The following is a 19,979-nucleotide window of genomic DNA, read 5'->3' as shown; positions in this document are numbered from 1 at the left end:
TTAAAAGAGGCTTGGTTAAGGCACCAATGACATGACCGGGCCCAATGGCTCATATCAATAATTCCAGCATATTGGGAGGCCAAGGCGGGTGGATCACCTGAGGTCAGGAGTTCAAGACCAGCCTGGCCAACATGGCAAAACCGTGTTTCTACTAAAAATACAAAAATAAGTTGGGTGTGGTGGGCACCTGTAGTCCCAGCCACTCGGGAGGTTGAGGCATGAGAATTGTTGAATGTGAGACGTCGAGGTTGCAGTGAGCTGAGATCACACCACTGCACCTCAGCCTGGGCACAGAGATTTTGTCTCAAAAAAAAAAAAAAAAAAAAAGACACCAACGAAGAAACAAGAAAAATAAAAGATGCTTGGAAACTACTGAAAAATTAGAAAGTTTGGTATCTACAGATTCACATCTGGGCTCCCTGCCCTGCTGTGAAACTCTCTGAGCCTCAGTTTCCCACATGTAAAGCAGTATAAGACTCTATGGCAGAGAACTGCAGTGAGGATTAAGGAGACAAGATCGTGGCAAGCACAGGGTAAAGGCGACGTACCCCTCCCTGGACTCCAATACCTAGAGTCGCAAGACGAGCTGAAAAAGGAGCCAGGCACTGAAGGACAAAGCGGTGTTGACTTTGTTCATCTGTGTTTCCCAGTGCGGTCCAATTGACGGTGGTTTCCAAGCGCCTCCTGGAGGAGAAAACACATGAGGGTGTGGTCAGGGTTCTCTGCTGACAGACCTACCGTGGGGAAGAAAGAGAAACTCTGAAGATGGATCATGGCCATGACTGCATGTCAAGGAGAATCTCCTTGAAGACACTGAGGCCTACGTCGAGGTAGAGTAAATATGGTCCAATTAAAAGGTGTCTATTTTACCACATTTTTTAAAACAAAACAAAACACAAAAACAAAAAAGATGGAAAAAAAGACAAGGGTACAGGCACCAGTGTTACATGTCTGACGGGGAACATCTATTCTTCAAAGCTTGCAGCTGTACACGTAGGTTTTAGAACGTCTGTCAGCAGTGGACATGATCTTAGAGTGGGCTGTGCAGATAGACCTTTCCGGGACATGTAATTGGATTAAGTTAATTGCAATTAACTTACATGTAACTGATTAGGTTAGGGTACGTTCCACGTCAGGTGACCAGAGGCAGTATAAAAGGCAGCCTGGAAAGCAGAGGTCCTTCTCCGCCCCTTCCTCCGTCTTCCTGGATGCTGCATCACTTCCAGGGGGGCTGCTCCAGCACCTGCCCATCTCAGCGCCAGCCGGTGAAAGAAAGTAGACGTGTAATTTCAGGTTAGTTTCACTGTACAGTTGTTTTTTTCACGCAATCCCTGAGGGGTGGGTGGGAAGAGACAAAGGACGCCGAGAGAAACCGATCACACTGGGCCTTGCTGATGGGGTAGGATGTGTTCTCGTTACTAGTAATTCTTGGAACAGAAAACGAGAAAGCATTTCCGTCTCCACGTGTGGGAGAAGACCAAGATGGGAATGTGAAAAGAAATGTACTGCAGCATGCTGAATTGGTGGGTAAATGGAAAAAGGACTTTGGAAAAAAGGGTGGTTTGCCCTTCAGCGGTGTAAGACGTCGATACGATATGGCACTTATTCACCGTTTGTTTAGATGAATTCGTGTGGCACGTGTAAAATACCAGAAAAATAAATAAAGAGGGGCTGGAGCTAAAGCCAAAAAGATAGAACAGGAAAGACCATCACCTGCTAGTGTGGTAGAGAGGAAGATAACTTCTCTCTATGAATTTGTGTTTGGAAGTCGCCTAATGAAATGGCAAGAGTAGCGATTCAAGTTGTGACAGGAAGCATCCCTTATCCCAGATTTCAAACAGACCTGCCAAAGGGTGACAAATGCCATGCCCTGTGGCTTCGATCATTCTGTCCGTCAAGGGAGATAGAATCATCGTGTCTTCTACCGGAGTGAATCGTAATAGACCTAAGTCCAGTCTCCAGAATCAGTTGTTAGTTTGGAGTTGAAAGCTCAACTCCCCATACCTAGGCCACAGGCCCTGTGGCAGGCGAAGTTTACTCTTGGACTAGGTAATCATGGCAGAGGAACACACAATATCTGAGGATGCACACAGCACATTGTGTTCCACAGATTTGACCGACTGGTGGTGAGGTCTCCTCATGACCACACCGGCAAGGAGTTAGCGGGGGGCTTCCTGTGGGTGTGTGAATATCCAACGTGCTTAACCATCCACATGTGTGTGTTTGTGTGTGTTTCAGGTGACCCAACAGTCAACCCCTGAAAAAGGCGGTCACAAAACCCCCAGGAGACGAAGATGACGGCACGTCGTGACCCCAAACCTGGGGCAAAGAGACTGGTGAGAGCCCAGACCCTCCAGAAGCAGCGGAGGGCCCCAGTTGGGCCAAGGGCTCCCCCGCCCGATGAAGAAGATCCCAGGGTAAGTCTAGCCCTGGATCTCTTGGGTATCGGGGTGGGGGTGGGGACGGGGGGAGGGGCTATCACACGGTCCTCAGAGACTGGGTTGGATTCCAAAGAGTTCTGTCACCACCACCCAGGTTGCTTTTCCCATCCAAGGTGGGCGTGGCTTGGGACCTCCTCCGCGGCCCGATAGGCCCCTTGAGAGACTCTTGGGGGCAACCTCCCTTTCTATTTAGAGTCCTGTGTAGCCACGTTTGGCTGTGCTGTTGACATCGGGTTCACCATCGTGCCCCTTAGAACCTTGAGTCCTGCCTTTTAGAGTTCCTCCGTCACATGGGCTTTGGGAGGGAACATCGCATCCGAACTCTCCCAGCACTTAATGGCCCCCATGCTGGTGTCCCCTCTTTGGAATCCTTATTCAGCTCTGAATTCACAATCCGTCTCAATGTTGACGTGGGATCGCTGCCTGTGGCTTCAGCTCACTCACTGACATCACTTCCTTTCCACCCACAGCTCAAGTGCAAAAACTGCAGGGCCCTTGGCCACACGGTCAGAAGTACCAGGTGCCCCATGAAGTGCTGGAAGGCAGCCCTGGTTCCACCGACCTTGGGGAAAAAGGAAGGGAAGGAAAACCTGAAACCATGGAAGCCCCAGGTTGAAGCCAACCCGGGGCCCTTGAACAAGGATAAGGGAGAGAAGGAAGAGAGACCAAGGTGAGCAGTGGGAGGGGTTTTCACCACTCTTAGGGTACTGCCTCCTAAGGACATGGTGTCTCTGCACCTGCACACCGTGTGCCTTTCCGTCTCCGGGCCAGGGAAGGAACGCTGCAGAGAAATAGGCCGGAGCTCCGTGTCCTCCGGCGTTCCACACCCAGGAGTTCCTTTGGCTCTGGGAGATTCAGGGACGGGGAGAGGCGGGGGTGCTTCGTGCAGATTCCCCACGACAGGGGGAAAAGCGATGGAATCCAAATCACAGTCCTTAGTTAGGAAGCCTAGAGGGCCACCTGGAGGATGGGAAGGTTGGCACGTGAGGGAAGGTGCAGAGGCGGAAAGGGCACCAGATGTCCATTTCTGTATCACAAAACACGGAATGGGACTGAGCCCCAGACAGGGTTCTCCCTGTCTCCTGGGGAAAACCAGGGGCCATGGCCTGACCTTTTTCTGTTCTGCAGGCAACAAGACCCGCAGAGAAAGGCTCTCCTCCACATATTTTCCGGGAAACCTCCAGAGAAGCTGCTGCCAAATCGAAAAGGATCCACGGAATCTTCTGTTTTTCTGAGGGTGAGTGTCACCCTGGGCCCCTGGTCTTTTTGTCCTCTAGGTCACCCTGGTTGATTTCCTTTCAGCTTCCCGTCTGCGGGAGGGAATCGGGGAACCCCTCTTTCTTGCCTTCTTGGGGTCAGGGACTTCACGATCCTTCCAGGTCAATTTGATTCCAGGCGAAGGCATCTGAAGATGCCGTATTTCCTGTTGCTTTCTTTCTGTCCAATTATGGCAAGCCTGCCAACAACATGTTCCTAGCGGCATGAGGAAATTTGTCCCTCAGAGGCCCCAAACATGGAGAAGGCTAAACTCTGGAACATGCATGTGTTCAGAGAAGACGTCCTGAGTACCCTTGAGCCACCAACCTGCCTTCGGAAGGGCATTAGTCTGTTCCACTTCATGGAAGGCTGAGTGGAGGCGCTTTGATCCAGTTAATGCCCAAGACGCGATCTTTTGAACAATGGTGTGCTTAGATCAGCTACACATAGCTCGAGAGCGCATCGTTCATGTGTCTTGTCCTGATCAGCACTCAGGTGGAGGGTCTGTCTCTACTTCCAAGGACCGCCTGTCGATACTGTACTAAGAATTTCATGGCGTGTGCACCTTGTCTTTGGATGTGCTTGATTTTCACGTTGGCTCCATGCTGAGGAACTTCTAACCTGTGTTGTTTCCTCTCTTTCAGGTTGCAAGCCGGCCAATGCCGGTCCACACAACAAGTAAGAGGCCGTGCGTGGACCCTGAACTCGCTGATCGCTCAGCTACCGAAATGTCTGGCAGAGGCTCCGTCTTGGCTTCACTGTCTCCCCTCAGAAAAGCCAGTCTGAGATCCTCCTCAAGTCTTGGACCAAAGGAAAGACAGACAGGTGCTGCGGCCGACATCCCTCAGCCTGCAGTCAGGCACCAGGGCCCCGAGCCTCTCCTCGTGGTGAAGCCGACACACAGCAGCCGTGAGGGTGGCTGCCGAGAAGTTCCCCAGGCTGCCTCCAAAACCCACGGCCTGCTCCAGGCTGTCAGACCCCAGGCACAAGACAAACGTCCTGCGGTGACCTGACAGCCCGGCCCACCAGCCGCCACACACAGCTTGGGCCTAGGCTCCAATCTCAGCTTCAGACCAGGAGCCAAGAGACCTGCCCAGGCTCCGATTCAGGGTTGCCTGAACTTCCCCAAGAAACCGAGACTGGGTCCCTTCCAGATCCCCGAAAGCGCCATCCAGGGAGGTGAGCTGGGGGCCCCGGAGAATCTCCAACCTCCGCCAGCCGCAACCGAACTTGGACCAAGTACGTCGCCCCAGATGGGCAGGAGGACACCCGCCCAGGTGCCCGGCGTCGACCGGCAGCCTCCGCACAGCAGACCTTGCCTGCCTACTGCCCAGGCCTGCACCATGTCCCATCACCCAGCGGCCAGCCATGATGGGGCCCAGCCTCTCAGAGTGCTCTTCCGGAGACTAGAAAACAGACGCTGGAGCTCCAGCCTCCTGGCGGCCCCCTCATTTCACTCTCCTGAGAAGCCGGGAGCCTTCCTCGCTCAGAGCCCTCATGTGTCAGAGAAGTCTGAGGGTCCCTGTGTTCGTGTCCCACCGAACGTCCTCTATGAAGACCTTCAGGTTTCCTCCTCCTCAGAGGACAGCGATTCTGACCTGCAGTGAGACTGCAGGTGGCAGGGGCTCCTTGGCCTCCAGCTCCCGTGACTTGGAGGGGACTGTGGGACTGAGGAGAGCAGAGCAGAGAGCACACTCTGTGCGGTGACTCCGAAGCTCCCCGGCTGTGGCGCTTCTGTGGATGTGGGAGCCCAGGCCAGGCAGGGAGCAGATGCAGGGACTCTGCCTCATTGAATTCTGGTGAGGGACGTTGTAGTTGGCGTGGTTCTCCGGAAACGCGCCAGGAAAAGCTTCCGTGCCAGAGATTCGTTGCCTCAGAAACTGCGTGACGCGCAGGAGTCAGACTTCCGCTGGGACGTCAATAGGAAACTGGGGAATTACTGTGTATTTGCTCTCTAGATGACTGAATAAGGGAAAAGTTAGGGAACCCTGAGAGGTGCAGCCCTTCCGCTGTGCCCCGCCCTGAGAGCAGTGTTTCGGACGCTGGGAAGCGTGCTGTGCGAAGCGCTCTCGGGGTCTTTCCTCAGCCTCGAAAACTGGGCTCTGGAATGCCTTTGTAAACAGGTGTGTTGAATTTGTTTTGAAGTGAATAAAATTCTCAAAAAGATGACGTATTGTCTTTTGACTCTCATTCCGTGTTTGTGTGTAACTGATTTTCCAAGTGAAGGGGTGGCCTGCCCCTCCACACCTGTGGGTGTTTCTAGTCGGGTGGGATGAGAGACGGAGAAGAGAAATAAGACAGAGAGACAAAGTATAGGGAAACAACAGTGGGTCCAGGGGACCGGCACTCAGCACACCAAGGACCTGCACCGGCCTCTGAGTTCCCTCAGTTTTTATTGATTATGATTTTCATTATTTCAGCAAAAAGGAATATACTAGGAGAGCAGGGTGATAATAAGGAGGTCAACAAAAAACATGTGAGCAAAAGAATCTATATCATAATTAAGTTCAAGGGAAGGTACTATGCCTGGACGTGCACGTAGGCCAGATTTATGTCTCTCTCCACCCAAACATCTCAGCGGAGTAAAGAATAACAAGGCAGCATTACTGCCAACATGTCTCGCCTCCCTCCACAGGGCAGCTTTTCTCCGAGCTCAGAGTTGAACAAATGTACGATCGGGTTTTACACCGAGACATTCAGTTCCCAGGGGCAAGCAGGAGACAGTGGCCTTCCTCCATGTCAACTGCAAGAGGCTTTCCTCTTTGACTAATACACCTCAGCACAGACGCTTTACGGGTGTCAGGCTGGGGGACAGTCAGGTCTTTCTCATCCCACGAGGCCATATTTCAGACTATCGCATGGGGAGAAACTTTGGACAATACCCTGCTTTCAAGGGCAGAGGTCCCTGCGGCTTTCCACGGTGCATTGTGTCCCTGGTTTATTGAGACTAGAGAATGGCAATGACTTTTACAAAGTATACTGCTTGTAAACATTTGGTTAACAAGGCACGTCCTGCACAGCCCTAGATCCCTTAAACCTTGATTTTATACAACATAGGTTTTTGTGTGCTCCAAGTTGGGTCAAAGCGGCTGGGGCAAAGTGGCTGGGGCAAAGCTACAAATGAACAACATCTCAGCAAAGCAATTGTTTAAAGTACAGGTCCTTTTCAAAATAGAGTCTCTTATGTCTTCCCTTTCGACATAGACACAGTGACAGTCTGATCTCTCTTTCTTTTCCCTACATCCAAGGACTTGAACATTTCTTGACTTGTTAGCAATCCAAATCGTTATGTCTCCGAAACAGAGTTGACTGAGGGGACCGCAGGGCTGGGCAGGACCTTTGACTTCCTATACATCCACAGGAGCAAGAAAACCTCAGCCCCGCTCTACCAACACGCACCTAGTAAAATTCCGCCAATTGAATCTCACGCACGCTAACACGTGGGGAGCGTTGCTTGCACCACGAGTCCCCATTTGGCTCAACCGCCGATGCCAAGTGTGTGGTTCCGGTTGCGACGGCTCCCCGTGAAGTGGCTTCCGGATGTGCGAATGAACCAGGCAGAGTTTCGCTGGCCAAGTAGACCCCAGCAAAGCTGAAGTTAACTCCCACATTTGGGATGTACTTCAGAGGTGAAACATTCATCCCTCTTCTTTCCGGATGTCTGACACCGGGCCTTTCCATGGTTCTCCCCCTGATCCTAAGAGTAGCTGAGGTAGAGACTCACTGAAAGATCTAGGCAGGGATATCCCATCATGCACAGGCTCTCTCCATTCTCTGACCTGGGAACAACTCTCAGCAGGATTGCATACCTAGGCGGCCTCGGAACTCAGCGGGATTTGCTGAGACACACCAAATGGCTGCTCCCTTTCCGCCGCTTTTGAGGGTCGTTATCTTGATTATCCAGATCACCTACAAAGTATCCGTATCCAGAATCAATAAGATCAACTCTCTGCTCCTCTGACAGCAGAAGGAGCAGGACCACAAGGAACCAAAGAGGGTGGAAGGAAACGATGTGACCGGAAAGCTCGGAAAACGGCCACAGGGGGTCGTCAGCAGGCCTTCCAACCTGAATCATGAATAATTAATGAAGCACAAATCAAAGGGGACTCGAGTTTCAGCAGATGCAATTCATCCAACGGGAGATCGCCGGAGGGCCAACAAGATTGAGAAACTGGGAGTCGGGTGCAGTGTCAAGGGGGACGCGACTGGTTCCAAAGCTCAAGAAGACCATGGGGTCACTTGGGCTACATGAGAAAATGCCCCAGTGTGCTGGTTCATCATTCCGACTCCTGCCTGTCTCTTCCCGTCCAAGGAACATGGACCCTAAGTCGTGCAGGTGCAGATGACCATGGGCAGAATTAGGGGACATGTCACAAAAGTTGAGGGACACGGGAGTTCCACAGAAGGTCCGGTTAATCTTCGCAAATCCAGAGACATGACAATGGGACCCAGGGAATTAGAGCCTCACAGGCGTCCAGGAGACTTTTCAGGCATAATGCCTGGAGTCGCAAGACGAGCTGAAAAGGGAGCCAGGTACTGAAGGACAAAGCGGTGTTGGCTTTCTTCATCTGTGTTTCCCAGTGCAGTCCAATTCACTGTGGTAGAATTCATGTATTTATTTTCCGTCGGCTTGTAGTTGCAAACTTTTGATGTTATTGATTTTTGGTTGGAGAGTTTTGGTTTGAAAAACTAGATATTCTTAAGATGGAGGTTGTCCAAGATTGCATCTCAAGGTGAGTCTACTTGATGCCAGCGAAGCATACTTTGACATATAATGCATATGTTTGAATTATATTTTGTCTTTTTTACCATATTTTAAAAAATCACTTCGTGAAAAATGTCAGAGTTAGATACACCAATGTTAAATTTCTCATCACATGTCCAGAGGCAGTGTAAAATGCAGTCTAGAAGGCAAAATTCCCAGCCACTTCTATGTGGAACTTTCTGCAGAGTGGGATTGTATCCAGCGTTTTCAGGGGGCGCAGGTGTGGTAATAGCTGGTCCTTGGCTTCCTGCTGAAGTTGGAATCCTGCAGATTGCTTAGGGGCGGTTTCAGCCTGTCCCTTCTTTCCAGGTCATCACTAACCTTTCCTGAGCCCCCATGGGGACTCAGAACTTATCTAGAGTCACAGGCCGGCCTGGGATGCTGCCCTTGAGCCTTTGTGCTGTCCATGATGGTTCCATGCCACTGATCTGCTGGGACACATTCTGCAGAAGGATGGGCTGGCAGGAGCTGTCCCTGCCTTTCTGAAAATCACAGAGATTTCTGCTGTCAGAAGCCACAGAGAAATATCTTTGGAGTCTCAGGTAGGCCAGGGATGCCATTCACAGGCTCCTGTTCTTCCTCTTAATGGTAGCAAGAGTGATTTCTGAGTTTCCTAATTGACTTCGAAATAATTTTGTTGATTTCGTTGTGACAAAGACCACTCCTCTTTCTGTGGCATCCAGTTCACCTGTAGTGTTTTTTGGGATTATGTGGAAACTCTTGCATTTTTCCAGAGCCTCACTTCATCCGGGATGTTCTCAGGAATGCACGAGCTGATCCCTGCCTTGGTGGCACCTTGGAACATTGAGGGAGGCCCCTTAGGTCCAGAAGGCACTAGGAGGTCCATCAGGAATTGAGAGGGCATGTGTCTGCCCATCTGTAGCTGGAACTTCTATTTGTCTTCAGAATGCAGATTCTTCCTGAACTAATAAATTATCTTCATCTTGGTGTAAGTAGCTACAATATAATAATTCACAGTAACTCTATTAATAAAAATAACTGAATATCAACAATGAAGATAATAATGACAATGTTAATTGTTATAATATTAATAGCAAAAATAAAAGAAAGTCATTAGGGATTGGAGATTCCCTTAAGTGAAGGACAATGTACAGATATAGGGACACTTGAGTTGTTTGGACTCAGAGTCAAATGAAACGTGTTCCTCAAAGGCAAAGGACATGCAGCATAAGGAAAACACAACGTTCATGGATGACCACATGGGGTACCTTGGAACTCATGTGGAAAGACTGCAGGCAAAGTGTACCTGGTACAGGGACCACCCACCAGCCAGCACCCACCCACCTTCATGAGGTAGGACAGCAAGATAATGGGGAAGGGGTCCATGCAAGGGATGCAAGGCTCGTGTCACACCTGATTCAAAGAAGCACTGCTTCTGACAGATGTTTATCTCCTAACACTGTGTCACCTCTAACTGCCTGGCTGCAAGTCTGCCAACTGTTCTTCTTAGGTCACAGGAGTGACAGACATTACTGTCCACCTATCTGCATACAGAGCCATTGGAGGCCATTACCCTTGTTGCTTCCTCTTTGGAAAGGGGCAACATACCTGGCAGATGCCATTCTCTGTCTCTTTGGAAAGCTTTGTCAGCACATTTAAGGTTTTCTTCAGCCACAGAAAGCCACCTGCTTCAAAGTCTCATCCTCCACAAGTGGCAAGCACACAATCATTAATGGAGGCAAGGGGTACATAGGCTTTGCCATTTGATTCAGTTGGGACAAATAGGGGAGGACTTCTTAGCTCTACAGCTCTGTCCGTGTGGCCAGGTGACAATGTCAGGCTGCACTGCCATTAGACTTGTCCCTTTGCACATAAGGCTTCCCTCCAATCCTTTCCACAGATGTGGATCCTCACATCACTTCCTAATAAACATCCTGCACACTAAACTTTATCTATATCCAGTTCCCTGGGAACCAAACCTGTGACAAAAGTGAAAAGTTTCTAGGGAAAATAGGGTTTCCTTATCAGACAGGAATCAAATTCTGCTGAGCTAGAAAATAAAGTAAAGTCTGACGCCATCTCGTGATATTTTTTTATTAGGACATTACCACTGCCAGCAAGAATTATGTGCATCAATTTGTGGGGACAAACATCATACTGGAGTGGAATGAGGTTGTTGTGAGTTGAGGAGAAATGCTGATGAATGGACTTTACCCTCAACTTGGATTCAGGAGAGGACATAAAAACAGCTGGAAATAAAAGGTGTCCGAAAACATTTTTCTGGTTTTTCAATTTCAGGTTGGGAGACACTCTATGTTTAAATTCTAAAGAGATGTAGCATACTGAGAAGAAATAACTGTAGACAAATTGTCCATTTTATGAATAATACAATTTATGGTATGACAGGAGACCAAGGGACATAACACAAATTTGGAGTTAAAGAAATTAACAGACATTCTCTATAATTCCTCCGCTATTATGGCAGAGATGCTGGAACAATGGATGTCCATGTAGCGTACTTTTTTTTTTTTTTTTTTGGCGGTGGGGGACGGAATCTCACTCTGTAACCAGGCTGTGCTGCAATGGCGCAATCTCAGCTCACTGCAACCTCTGCCTCCCGGGTTCAAGCAATCCTCCTGCCTCGGCCTCCTGAGTAGCTGGGACGACAGGCACACACTACCACACTCAGCTAATTTTTGTATTTTTAGTACAGATGGGGTTTCACCATGTTGGCTAGGATGGTCTCAGTTTCCTGATACCGTGATCCACCTGCTTTGGCCTCCCAAAGGGTTGGGATTACTGGTGTGAGCCACCATGCCTGGCCCTTGTAGCAGTACTTTTGAACTTATTGGCTGAAAGCATCCACCTGCAAACTTACGTATTATATCTGCAAAAGAGTACAAACCATGTGATGAATTTTAAAGGGAAGACAAGCCTGTGGGAATTCAACAGCCATGGCAATGTTTTGAACTTCTTTTTATTAAACATGTAAGAAGTAAGTGAAGTTCAAGACCTAATAGAATTGCCAGGAATTATCTGAGGAATTACCAAGATGACCATAGACACTATGAAATCCTTACGATGCCCTCTGCTGGAGTTTCCTCCTACAGCCAGTGATTTTAAGCCAGAAGCAAATGTATCTGCAGGCACAAGAATTCAACCCAAATGTGCTATTCAATTTTAAATGAGATGACAATGAAATTATGTGCTATATAGCAACAACTTTTTTTTTTCTTTCAGACAGAGCCTTTCTCTGTTGCCTAGGCTGGAGTGCAGTGGGGCACTCTTGGCTCACTGCAATCTCTGCCTCCTGTGTTCAAGTGATTTTCCCACCTTTTTCACAATGTATCCTTATCCTCAAACTCATCCTCCTAAGTAGCTGAGATTATAGGCCTGTGCCACCATGTCTGGCTGATTTTTGTATCAGCAAAATTATTTCTGGGGTGGAGAGTTAGGAATCTTTTTCTCCCACACCCATAACATGTTCTCCAAATGATCTGTCATGAAGAAGGTTCTCTTAATTTTCAACACAAGTTATGGGCTAGGCACTGTGCTAGGTGCTACAGATACGCACTAATATACCCACAATAGTTTTGCCTTATTGCCTTCTATGTTCTAATAATGCACCAAAAGAAAAGTATAGATTAGCTTTTTATTTTTTTGAGATGGAGGTTAATTCTGTCACCCAGGATGGAATGCAGAGGTGGGATCTTGGCTCACTGCACCTTCTGCCTCCTGGGTTCAAGTGATTCTCCCGCCTCAGCCTCCTGAGTAGCTGGGATTACAGGCACGTGCCACCACACCCAGAAAATTTTTGTATTTTTCAGGAAGACAGCTTTCATCATGTTAATCAGGCAGGTCTCAAACCCCTGGCCTCAAGTGATCCACCTATCTTGGCCTTCCAAACTGCTGGGATTACAGTCATGAGCCATAGTGCCCAGCCAAAGAGAGTAGCTTTAAATAGAAAATATGAAACTAAAAGAAATGTATGCTCATCAGTTTTATACTGTATTTGGCCAGGTGCAGAATATCGACATGTAGTAATGTAAGGGAATAAGGTCAATTCACATCTAATTGTTTGGAGAAGTCACCAGAAATCAAAAGTTGGAGGAGTTGTATCTTTTGAGGTGGGTTGCACAGGCAAGCAGCAAGTTGCTATCTCTCCAAAGTCCTAAACTGTTCTATTTGTCCTACTGTGGAAAAATGAGTCTTCAACTTGATTTCAATTTATATAGGAAAATGCTCAATAAAACTAATAAGGGCTACATTCCAGGACACAGCCAGACCACCATATACTGAACCTTGATTCTAGAGACACCTCCTGTTCAATGTAATTGGATTTTCAAGACAACAAATATATAACCCTGACACAATATTGGAGAGCCAAAAGGAAAGGACATTTTGGGTTGAAATTTTTTCTTTTAAAAATGTGTCCTTGAGTTCTATTAACAATAGCTGAAGCCTGGGAACAGCTCAAATGTCTATTGAGAGGAAATTGATAAATTATATGCATATTATGGAGTAATATTTATCAATAAATGGGAATAATCAACTCTATGAATCGACATCATGATCATGGATCAATATAATCTTTCTAACCCCGAGTGGGGAAAGCTAAGCTAAAAAGTGTCCTATAATATAAATAAATGTATACAAAATTCTAGAACAGACAAACCTAATATAAGCTAAAAAAGTTCAGAAAAGCCAGGTGCACTGGGTCATGCCTGTTATGTCAGCACTTTGTGAGGTGGGTGGATCGCATGAACTCAGGAATTCAAGACCAGCCTGGCCAACATGCTGAAGCTACCCCATCTTTACCAAAAATATAAAAATTAGCCCAGTGTGGTGTGGTACGCAGGAGCAGAAAACCAAATATTACATATTCTCATGTATAAGTGAGAGCTAAACATTGGGTTATACACTGTTCAGCTCTCACTTATATGGAAACAACAGACACTGGAGATTCTTAGAGGGAGGAGGGAGGGTTGGGTGCAAGGCCTGAAAAACTACCTATTGGGTATTATGTTCACTACATGTGTGATGAGATCATTCATACTGTAAACCTCAGCAGCACACAATACATCCATGTAACAAACCTGCACATGTATCCTCTGTGTCTAAAATAAAAATTAAAAACATAAAAATGAACAAAGATATATGAGCAAGCATTTGTCGAAAAAGGAGATACAAATGGACAACATATATATAAACAATTCTTACCCTCTCTAGTCATCACGGGAATGCAAATGAAAACAACCAAGAAATATCACCTCACACCTGTTAGAATAGCTATTATCAAAAAGATGGATGATAACAAGTGTTGGTAAGGATGTGGAGAAAAGGGAACCTTTGTATACTGGTGGTGGGAATGTAAATTAGTATGGCCACCTTGGAAAACAGTATGGAGGTTTCTCAAAAATTAACAATAAAAATACCATTTTGTTCCAGCAATCCCACTTATTTTATATATAATATATATATCATATATATAAATATATATATATGAAGTCATTGAAATCAGTATGTGAAAGAGATATCTGCGCTCCTATGTTCCTTTCAACACTGTTCACAATAGTCAAGATCTATGAAGAAGACATACATGTTATCATTCATTCATGAATGGCTGAATTAATGTTATACATATATATATATATATATATGCACAATGGAATATTATTCAGTATTATATAATAATGAAACCCTGTCATTTGTGACAACATTGATGCATCTGAAGGGCATGAAGTCATGTGAAATAAACCAAACACAGAATGACAAATACTGTATGATTCCACTTGTATTTGAAATCTCAAAAAAACAAACTCAGAAGCAGAGGGTAGACTGGCCAGGAGCTGTGGTGCAGGTAAGTGTGTAGGTGTGATTACAGTACAAAGTTTTAGATATACCACATAAATAAGTTCAGGAGGTCTAATTTACAGCTTAGTGCTTATAGCTATGAATACTGTATTGCATACTTAAAATATAATAGGAGGGTGAATTTTATGTTAATTATTCTTACCAATAAAAATAATAATTAGAATGGGAGGGAGAACTTTGGGAGGTGATGAATATGTTTATAATCTTGATGGTAGTGATGCTTTCACAATGTATCCTTATTCTCAAACTCACTGAGATATACACATTAAATAGGTACAGCTTTTTGAATGTAATCATGTCTCAACAAAGTGTTTTTAAGGGGGGTTGGTTAAAAAATTTAAAAAGGAAGGGTAGATGTTCCTTTGCCATTCTCTCATGCCTTTTTTCTCCCTGCTGTCTAGAATTCAGAAATAATAGGTGGGAATTTAGCAGCCAAACTACGACCTTTTCTAAAGTATAGCAGAGCAAAGAGCTGGAAGGGACCTGCATCCCTAATGATATAAGAAAGAATCTGTACTAGCCCTGAATGGTATAACTACAGGTTAATTTTAAGTGAAAAAGAAATCAACTTCTGCCTTGTTTAAGCAAACTTATTCAGGCATTAATTTTATAAACATGTAGAGAATACATACTCCTTATGAGCAGAAACAATGTTTATGCCATATGCTCCATGATGGGTATTCAATAATGTGTGACGATAATAATGAAGACAATAGTGATAAATAAAAGAAAATAAAAAGCAGTGAAACAAAGTGGTTTAATAGCTATACATAGATATTTTGTTGAAAGATTCTGCTGCTAATATTATTCAATATTTTTGTATGCTGGTGCAAGTAAGGAAAATTACATTGTCTAATAAAAATTATTTATCAATTTATAAAACAGTAAAAATTTCATAGAATGGGGCTAAGAATCTGCATTGCAAACTAACTCTTTCAGTTGATTTATGCACAGTAATTATTGAGAATCCCCTTATCTAGATCCAACGGATCTGGACCTACATAGGTGCTATCAAGACTTAAGGAAGAAAATTTTCCTGACTCTATCCATACCTCCAGTTAGTAATAGATCTAGAGATTTAGAACTGAAATCCAGACCTCCTGCTTCCATGTGCAGTGACCTTTCACTGTCCTGTTTTGCTTCACTTGATGAAGAGGATTTGAGAATAAATGACCACTTGATTCAACTCCTCCTCAACTCTGAGGAATATAGCCCTGTCCTGGCAAACAAGAAACTCCTGCAGTAGTAGAGGAGGCAAATATACGTTCACTAATCTAACATACAAGGCAGTAGGCACTGTACCATAAACAAGGCACTGTGGGGGTTCAGACCAGCGGCAAAGTGGGGATTAATAGGGCTAGTAAACTCTGGGAAGGTTCACTAACAAAATGTCTAATCATTAACTAAACTAAAAGGTTTCTCAACATGGCCTAATTAATTGTAACTTAACATAAATGGTTGTTTGTTCATAAACCTTAATCTTTTGCCAAAATATTGGTAGCTTATGTTCCCATTTAACAAGGTTTTCTGGTCAAAACTGTGCACCCACATCATTCTAATGAACTTAGTGTCCAATAAAACATGGACTCTCAGTCATCCTATGAAGGTTATTTTGTGTGCATAGTACATCTCTGTGAATATGCGTAATGAGGTATGGAAGGACACTTATTATCCAAACAGAGACATTCCACTGGTGCTAGAGAGCCACAGACGGAAGTTTTCTCTGTCTACTGGAAATAAAGCCAAGCTTTCTTCTTTCCTCAGCCGTGAGGATTGCTGTCCTCCTCTTTATCATTCTCGTTTTTTTTTTTTTGTTTTTATGAGCCAAGCTCCACCAAATAACAAGATAAACTTTGTGTAAGACTTGGTAAGAGTAGAGTGTCTGACACCTTATTGTGCTATAACACTCAAAGCAAAAGCAAAATCGCCTATGACCAGAAAAGGGAGTCACATAGGAAATCTAGAAGACCTATTGGCTGAGAGACCTGCAGCCTCATAGTTCATTAGCTCTCCATAGCAACTCTCACATGAAATGAAGTCAGTGGTGTTTCAAGTGGTTGAAACCCTCTTTACTCTACTTCTAAATGTGAATTAATTAGGCAAGTTTACTAGCAGTTACTAGACCTCAAAAGCAAAATAATCAGGCATTATTCTATTAAATATTGGTCTCCATAACTCCTCTATTTTCTTTTGGAAAAGTTAGTTAGTCTAAGACATTTGGCATAAAGGCTATGCCAAAGCTTTGGTGGGGTCAGCCAGGAAGGATTCGTGGGGCCTCCTTGAAAATATTGCAATAATCTAAGAAATCTTCAACCTATTGCCCCTCAATACTGTTGGTCCCTTGTACTGGACTTTTCCCCTTAAGTTTGATTCCATTTCCTAACATTATCCTTCCCTCTTCCTCCTCAGCAACTAGTCTTCTAAATTAGAACTTAAACACAATGACCAGATATGACCCTGCAACAGAGCACGCCCTTCTGCATTGAGCATGCAATCATGAATCACAGGTATAAGACCCCTTGAACAGACATGGTTTTGGTGATTCTGTGTAGGACTTATTGCTTTTACCCAAGAAGATGATCAGGCATTCTAAGTAGATCAGAAAATTTTCTGGAGCTCTTGAATGTGTGTAGGCAAGAAAGATTAAGCAACCTGTTGCCTTATATGAGGCAAACTGTCTTCTCATATTTTCTTTTGAATTCAAGATTTCAAGGTTGGGGAAGGAGTGGGAAAGTAGCCATGGACATGTGAGAATGTGGATGATCCTTGTACATTGTCAGGGATGGTCAAATTCTATGCTTCATGTTGTTTGCTAAAAGACACTTTCCAAAGTTTTCAACAGAAAATATGGTGGCACACATGCCTATTCTTCGTGAACCCAGACATTTCTATCTAGTCTGTGATAGTAAATTTAAAAGGACGGCTTAGGGTAAATGAATCCTTCAAGTTATAAAGATGAAGGGCAGTTTTTGGACAATTCCCATTTTGCTGTAGGAAAACTAATCTGGAAGAAGTAAAAGGGAAAGATTGAAGTGGAGAGAACGGAGATAGAAAATGAGTTCAGTTGATCAAATTTTTGTTAAGCGCCCACTGTATGTGGGACCCTTACAAGGAAACAAGCAGACAAAGAAAAAAAAAAGCATGTGATGGCCTTGCTCTTAAGAAGCCAGAGGCCAGTCACCTGGATTGCTACATATCAGGAAGATGTCAACAAGCCCCTACAATACAGCACTGGCATAGGATGAAGAAGAGGTTTCTTTCTATGAGATAAATAGCACACAACCAAAAAAGAAAGCCAAAAGATACACAAGGCTCGAAAACCTAAGGCACCAACCCTTAAGAGATCTGATTGTTGGTGGTAACTTTGGAAGGAAAATTATTATTAGGATTATTTTAGTACTAAGAGTTTTGAGCTGTCTATCCAAGATTGTCATCTGCACCTCTGCCTTAGGTAATACTGTGTGTGTGTGTGTGTGTGTGTGTGTGTGTGCGCGCGCGCGCACGTGTGTGTGCCTTTGCATGTGTTTGAAATATATTCTGTATCCCACACTCCACATAGGTTTGGGGCTGATCTGAAACTATACTCTTAGGGATGGGGTTAAGCTACTCTGTCACATTGTGAAGAGTTGATATGTAAGAGACTCTTAACCTTTTATAAATTACCTTTAAAATGTTTCCTTTTCTGTGAAGGGAAGAATAACAATTTGTAAACAAATGCAAAAATAACTTTAACTAAACAAAAGAACAGTTTGTTAGCCTTGTTATGATTAGCAGAGAGGATAGCTGCAGACACTGTAAAATCACTCAGCAACAAGATTTGACAAAACCTTAAATATGGCTCTATTTTTCCTGTTTTATAGAGGAAAATATTAAGGCTCTGGGAACTGAAGTGCTTTTCTCAACAGTGGAGTAAGTGTCAGAGTCAAGGCTGGGTTTTACATCCCAGCTTTCCCTATACATTCCACCCTATGGTTCTGTTGTGCTGTTCCTTTGTGTGACTCCGTAAAGCCTGCTTAAAGGTGATACCATATCAAATTGTATTAACTCAGTAGCACATAACGCCAGGGAATTGATTTATAAGATGTTTATCCTTGTGGCGTTGCTGAAGACCCATCTGATTAGTAGTTATCAAGTAGTCATCCTGGATAAATATATGGGTTTGATTTTTAATTTTGAAAATGAAAAATATTTTAAAATATATGTCTTACATCCATATCCCAGGAAATTCTAATCAAGTTTTAAAACTTCCAAATTTAGATAAACTAATGGTTTTTTGTTTTAATTTTCTCTCAATGAAAATAGAAGAAACTAATTGGATGGAACAGCACAGCAGAAGCATTACTTATAGCCAAAAATGGGATACAACAAGACTGAAGAAGAAAATGCAAGACAGTGCTTAAAAAAGCAGTCTAATGAAAAGTGAGGTCTCCTCTGGATGTCCTTAGGTAGACATTGCAGCAGAACTGTAAAGTTTTTCTGGAAGGCTGGGGAAGAGAGGAGGAAACAGAGAAGGGGCAAGAGGAGAAAATAGAATGAGGCTCAGAATACCAAGCCTTAGTGCTGTCCCTATCGCCTTCCTCGCTAGATCACTGGGTGATCCTGCGCAAGTTTCTTCCTTTCCCTCAGCTCATTTCCTCATCTCTAATGTAAGTGACTAGACAAGATAGCCTATGCTGTTCATTGTAACTCTAACTTTTCTTCCCAAAGCAAATAGCTGGAAAAGACACTGTGCTTACAATATGCAACAAATAAAGACAAAAGATTTTTAGAAACCCCTAGTGTAACTTGAATTCTTACAAATAAGCAATGGTACATCATAATTTTACAAAGCCCTTTTGTGATTTCATTTTTAAAATCACGTCAAGTTTTATTTTACTTCATAATAAGATAATGGGAGATAAGTGTTAAATGGGTTCATGAAGCAATGTTTGTAAAAGACACAATAATCCAAAATAGGTAATTGTTATATTAGTAGTTCCCTTTACTGGGGGGGAACAGATAAAAGAGTGTTAGGAAAAGCTTCATAAAGTGGATTATATAGAATGTGCTTTAAAAGAGTTTGGTGTTTTATTGAGTGGGGAAAGAGCAATATGGGGAGTTATTGTTCAAGGGTTAAAGCTATACAAAATGAGTCAATTACAGAGATAGGCTCCAAAACATAGTACCTATAGTTAACAATGAGGTATTTTGTATTTAACAATTTGTTAAGAGGGTCGATCTTAGGGGTTCTGACAACAACAACAACAACAACAAAGGGACGTAGGAAACATTTGGAGGTGATGGATATATTATTACCTGGATATTGGTGTGGTAACAAGATAATATATATGTGCAAACTTGCCAAACTATATCCATTAATTATGTACTGTTTGTGTATAACGATTTTACTTCAGTTCCTACTATATTGCCTGGCAAACGATAGATGTATAAAGTGAGATCAATGATTATTGCATGTGCATTTCAAAAATAATAAAGAAAGCAGGTGACAATAAAGACATCCTGAATCTTTGGGAAATAAATTGCATTCACCTGCTTTCTCATCCATTGAGATATCACCACATTTATGTACTTGTGTGTCCCTGGAAGTTTCCTGTGGGAGATTTAGTTATTCTCTTTTCGTTAGGCTTTACTGACCAAGAACAAATCACAGACTCAGAGAGCATCATAAAAAGGCCTAGACC

The 19,979-nt window shown here is 44.2% G+C and overlaps 1 pseudogene across 1 annotated transcript; it reads left to right on the top strand.

Moving 5' to 3' along the window:
* The first annotated feature begins 798 nt into the window (after window positions 1-798).
* Window positions 799-4,612, top strand: FAM90A2P (family with sequence similarity 90 member A2, pseudogene; annotated as a pseudogene). The gene is made up of 5 exons (NR_046354.1): window positions 799-830; window positions 2,239-2,417; window positions 2,912-3,111; window positions 3,570-3,678; window positions 4,343-4,612. The product of NR_046354.1 is annotated as a family with sequence similarity 90 member A2, pseudogene (transcript).

This window comes from Homo sapiens, chromosome 8, assembly GCF_000001405.40.
Source record: "Homo sapiens chromosome 8, GRCh38.p14 Primary Assembly".
Classification (NCBI taxonomy): Eukaryota; Metazoa; Chordata; class Mammalia; order Primates; family Hominidae; genus Homo; species Homo sapiens.
The sequence above is the reverse complement of the archived record's forward strand: the minus strand, read 5'-3'. Positions and strand labels throughout refer to the sequence as shown.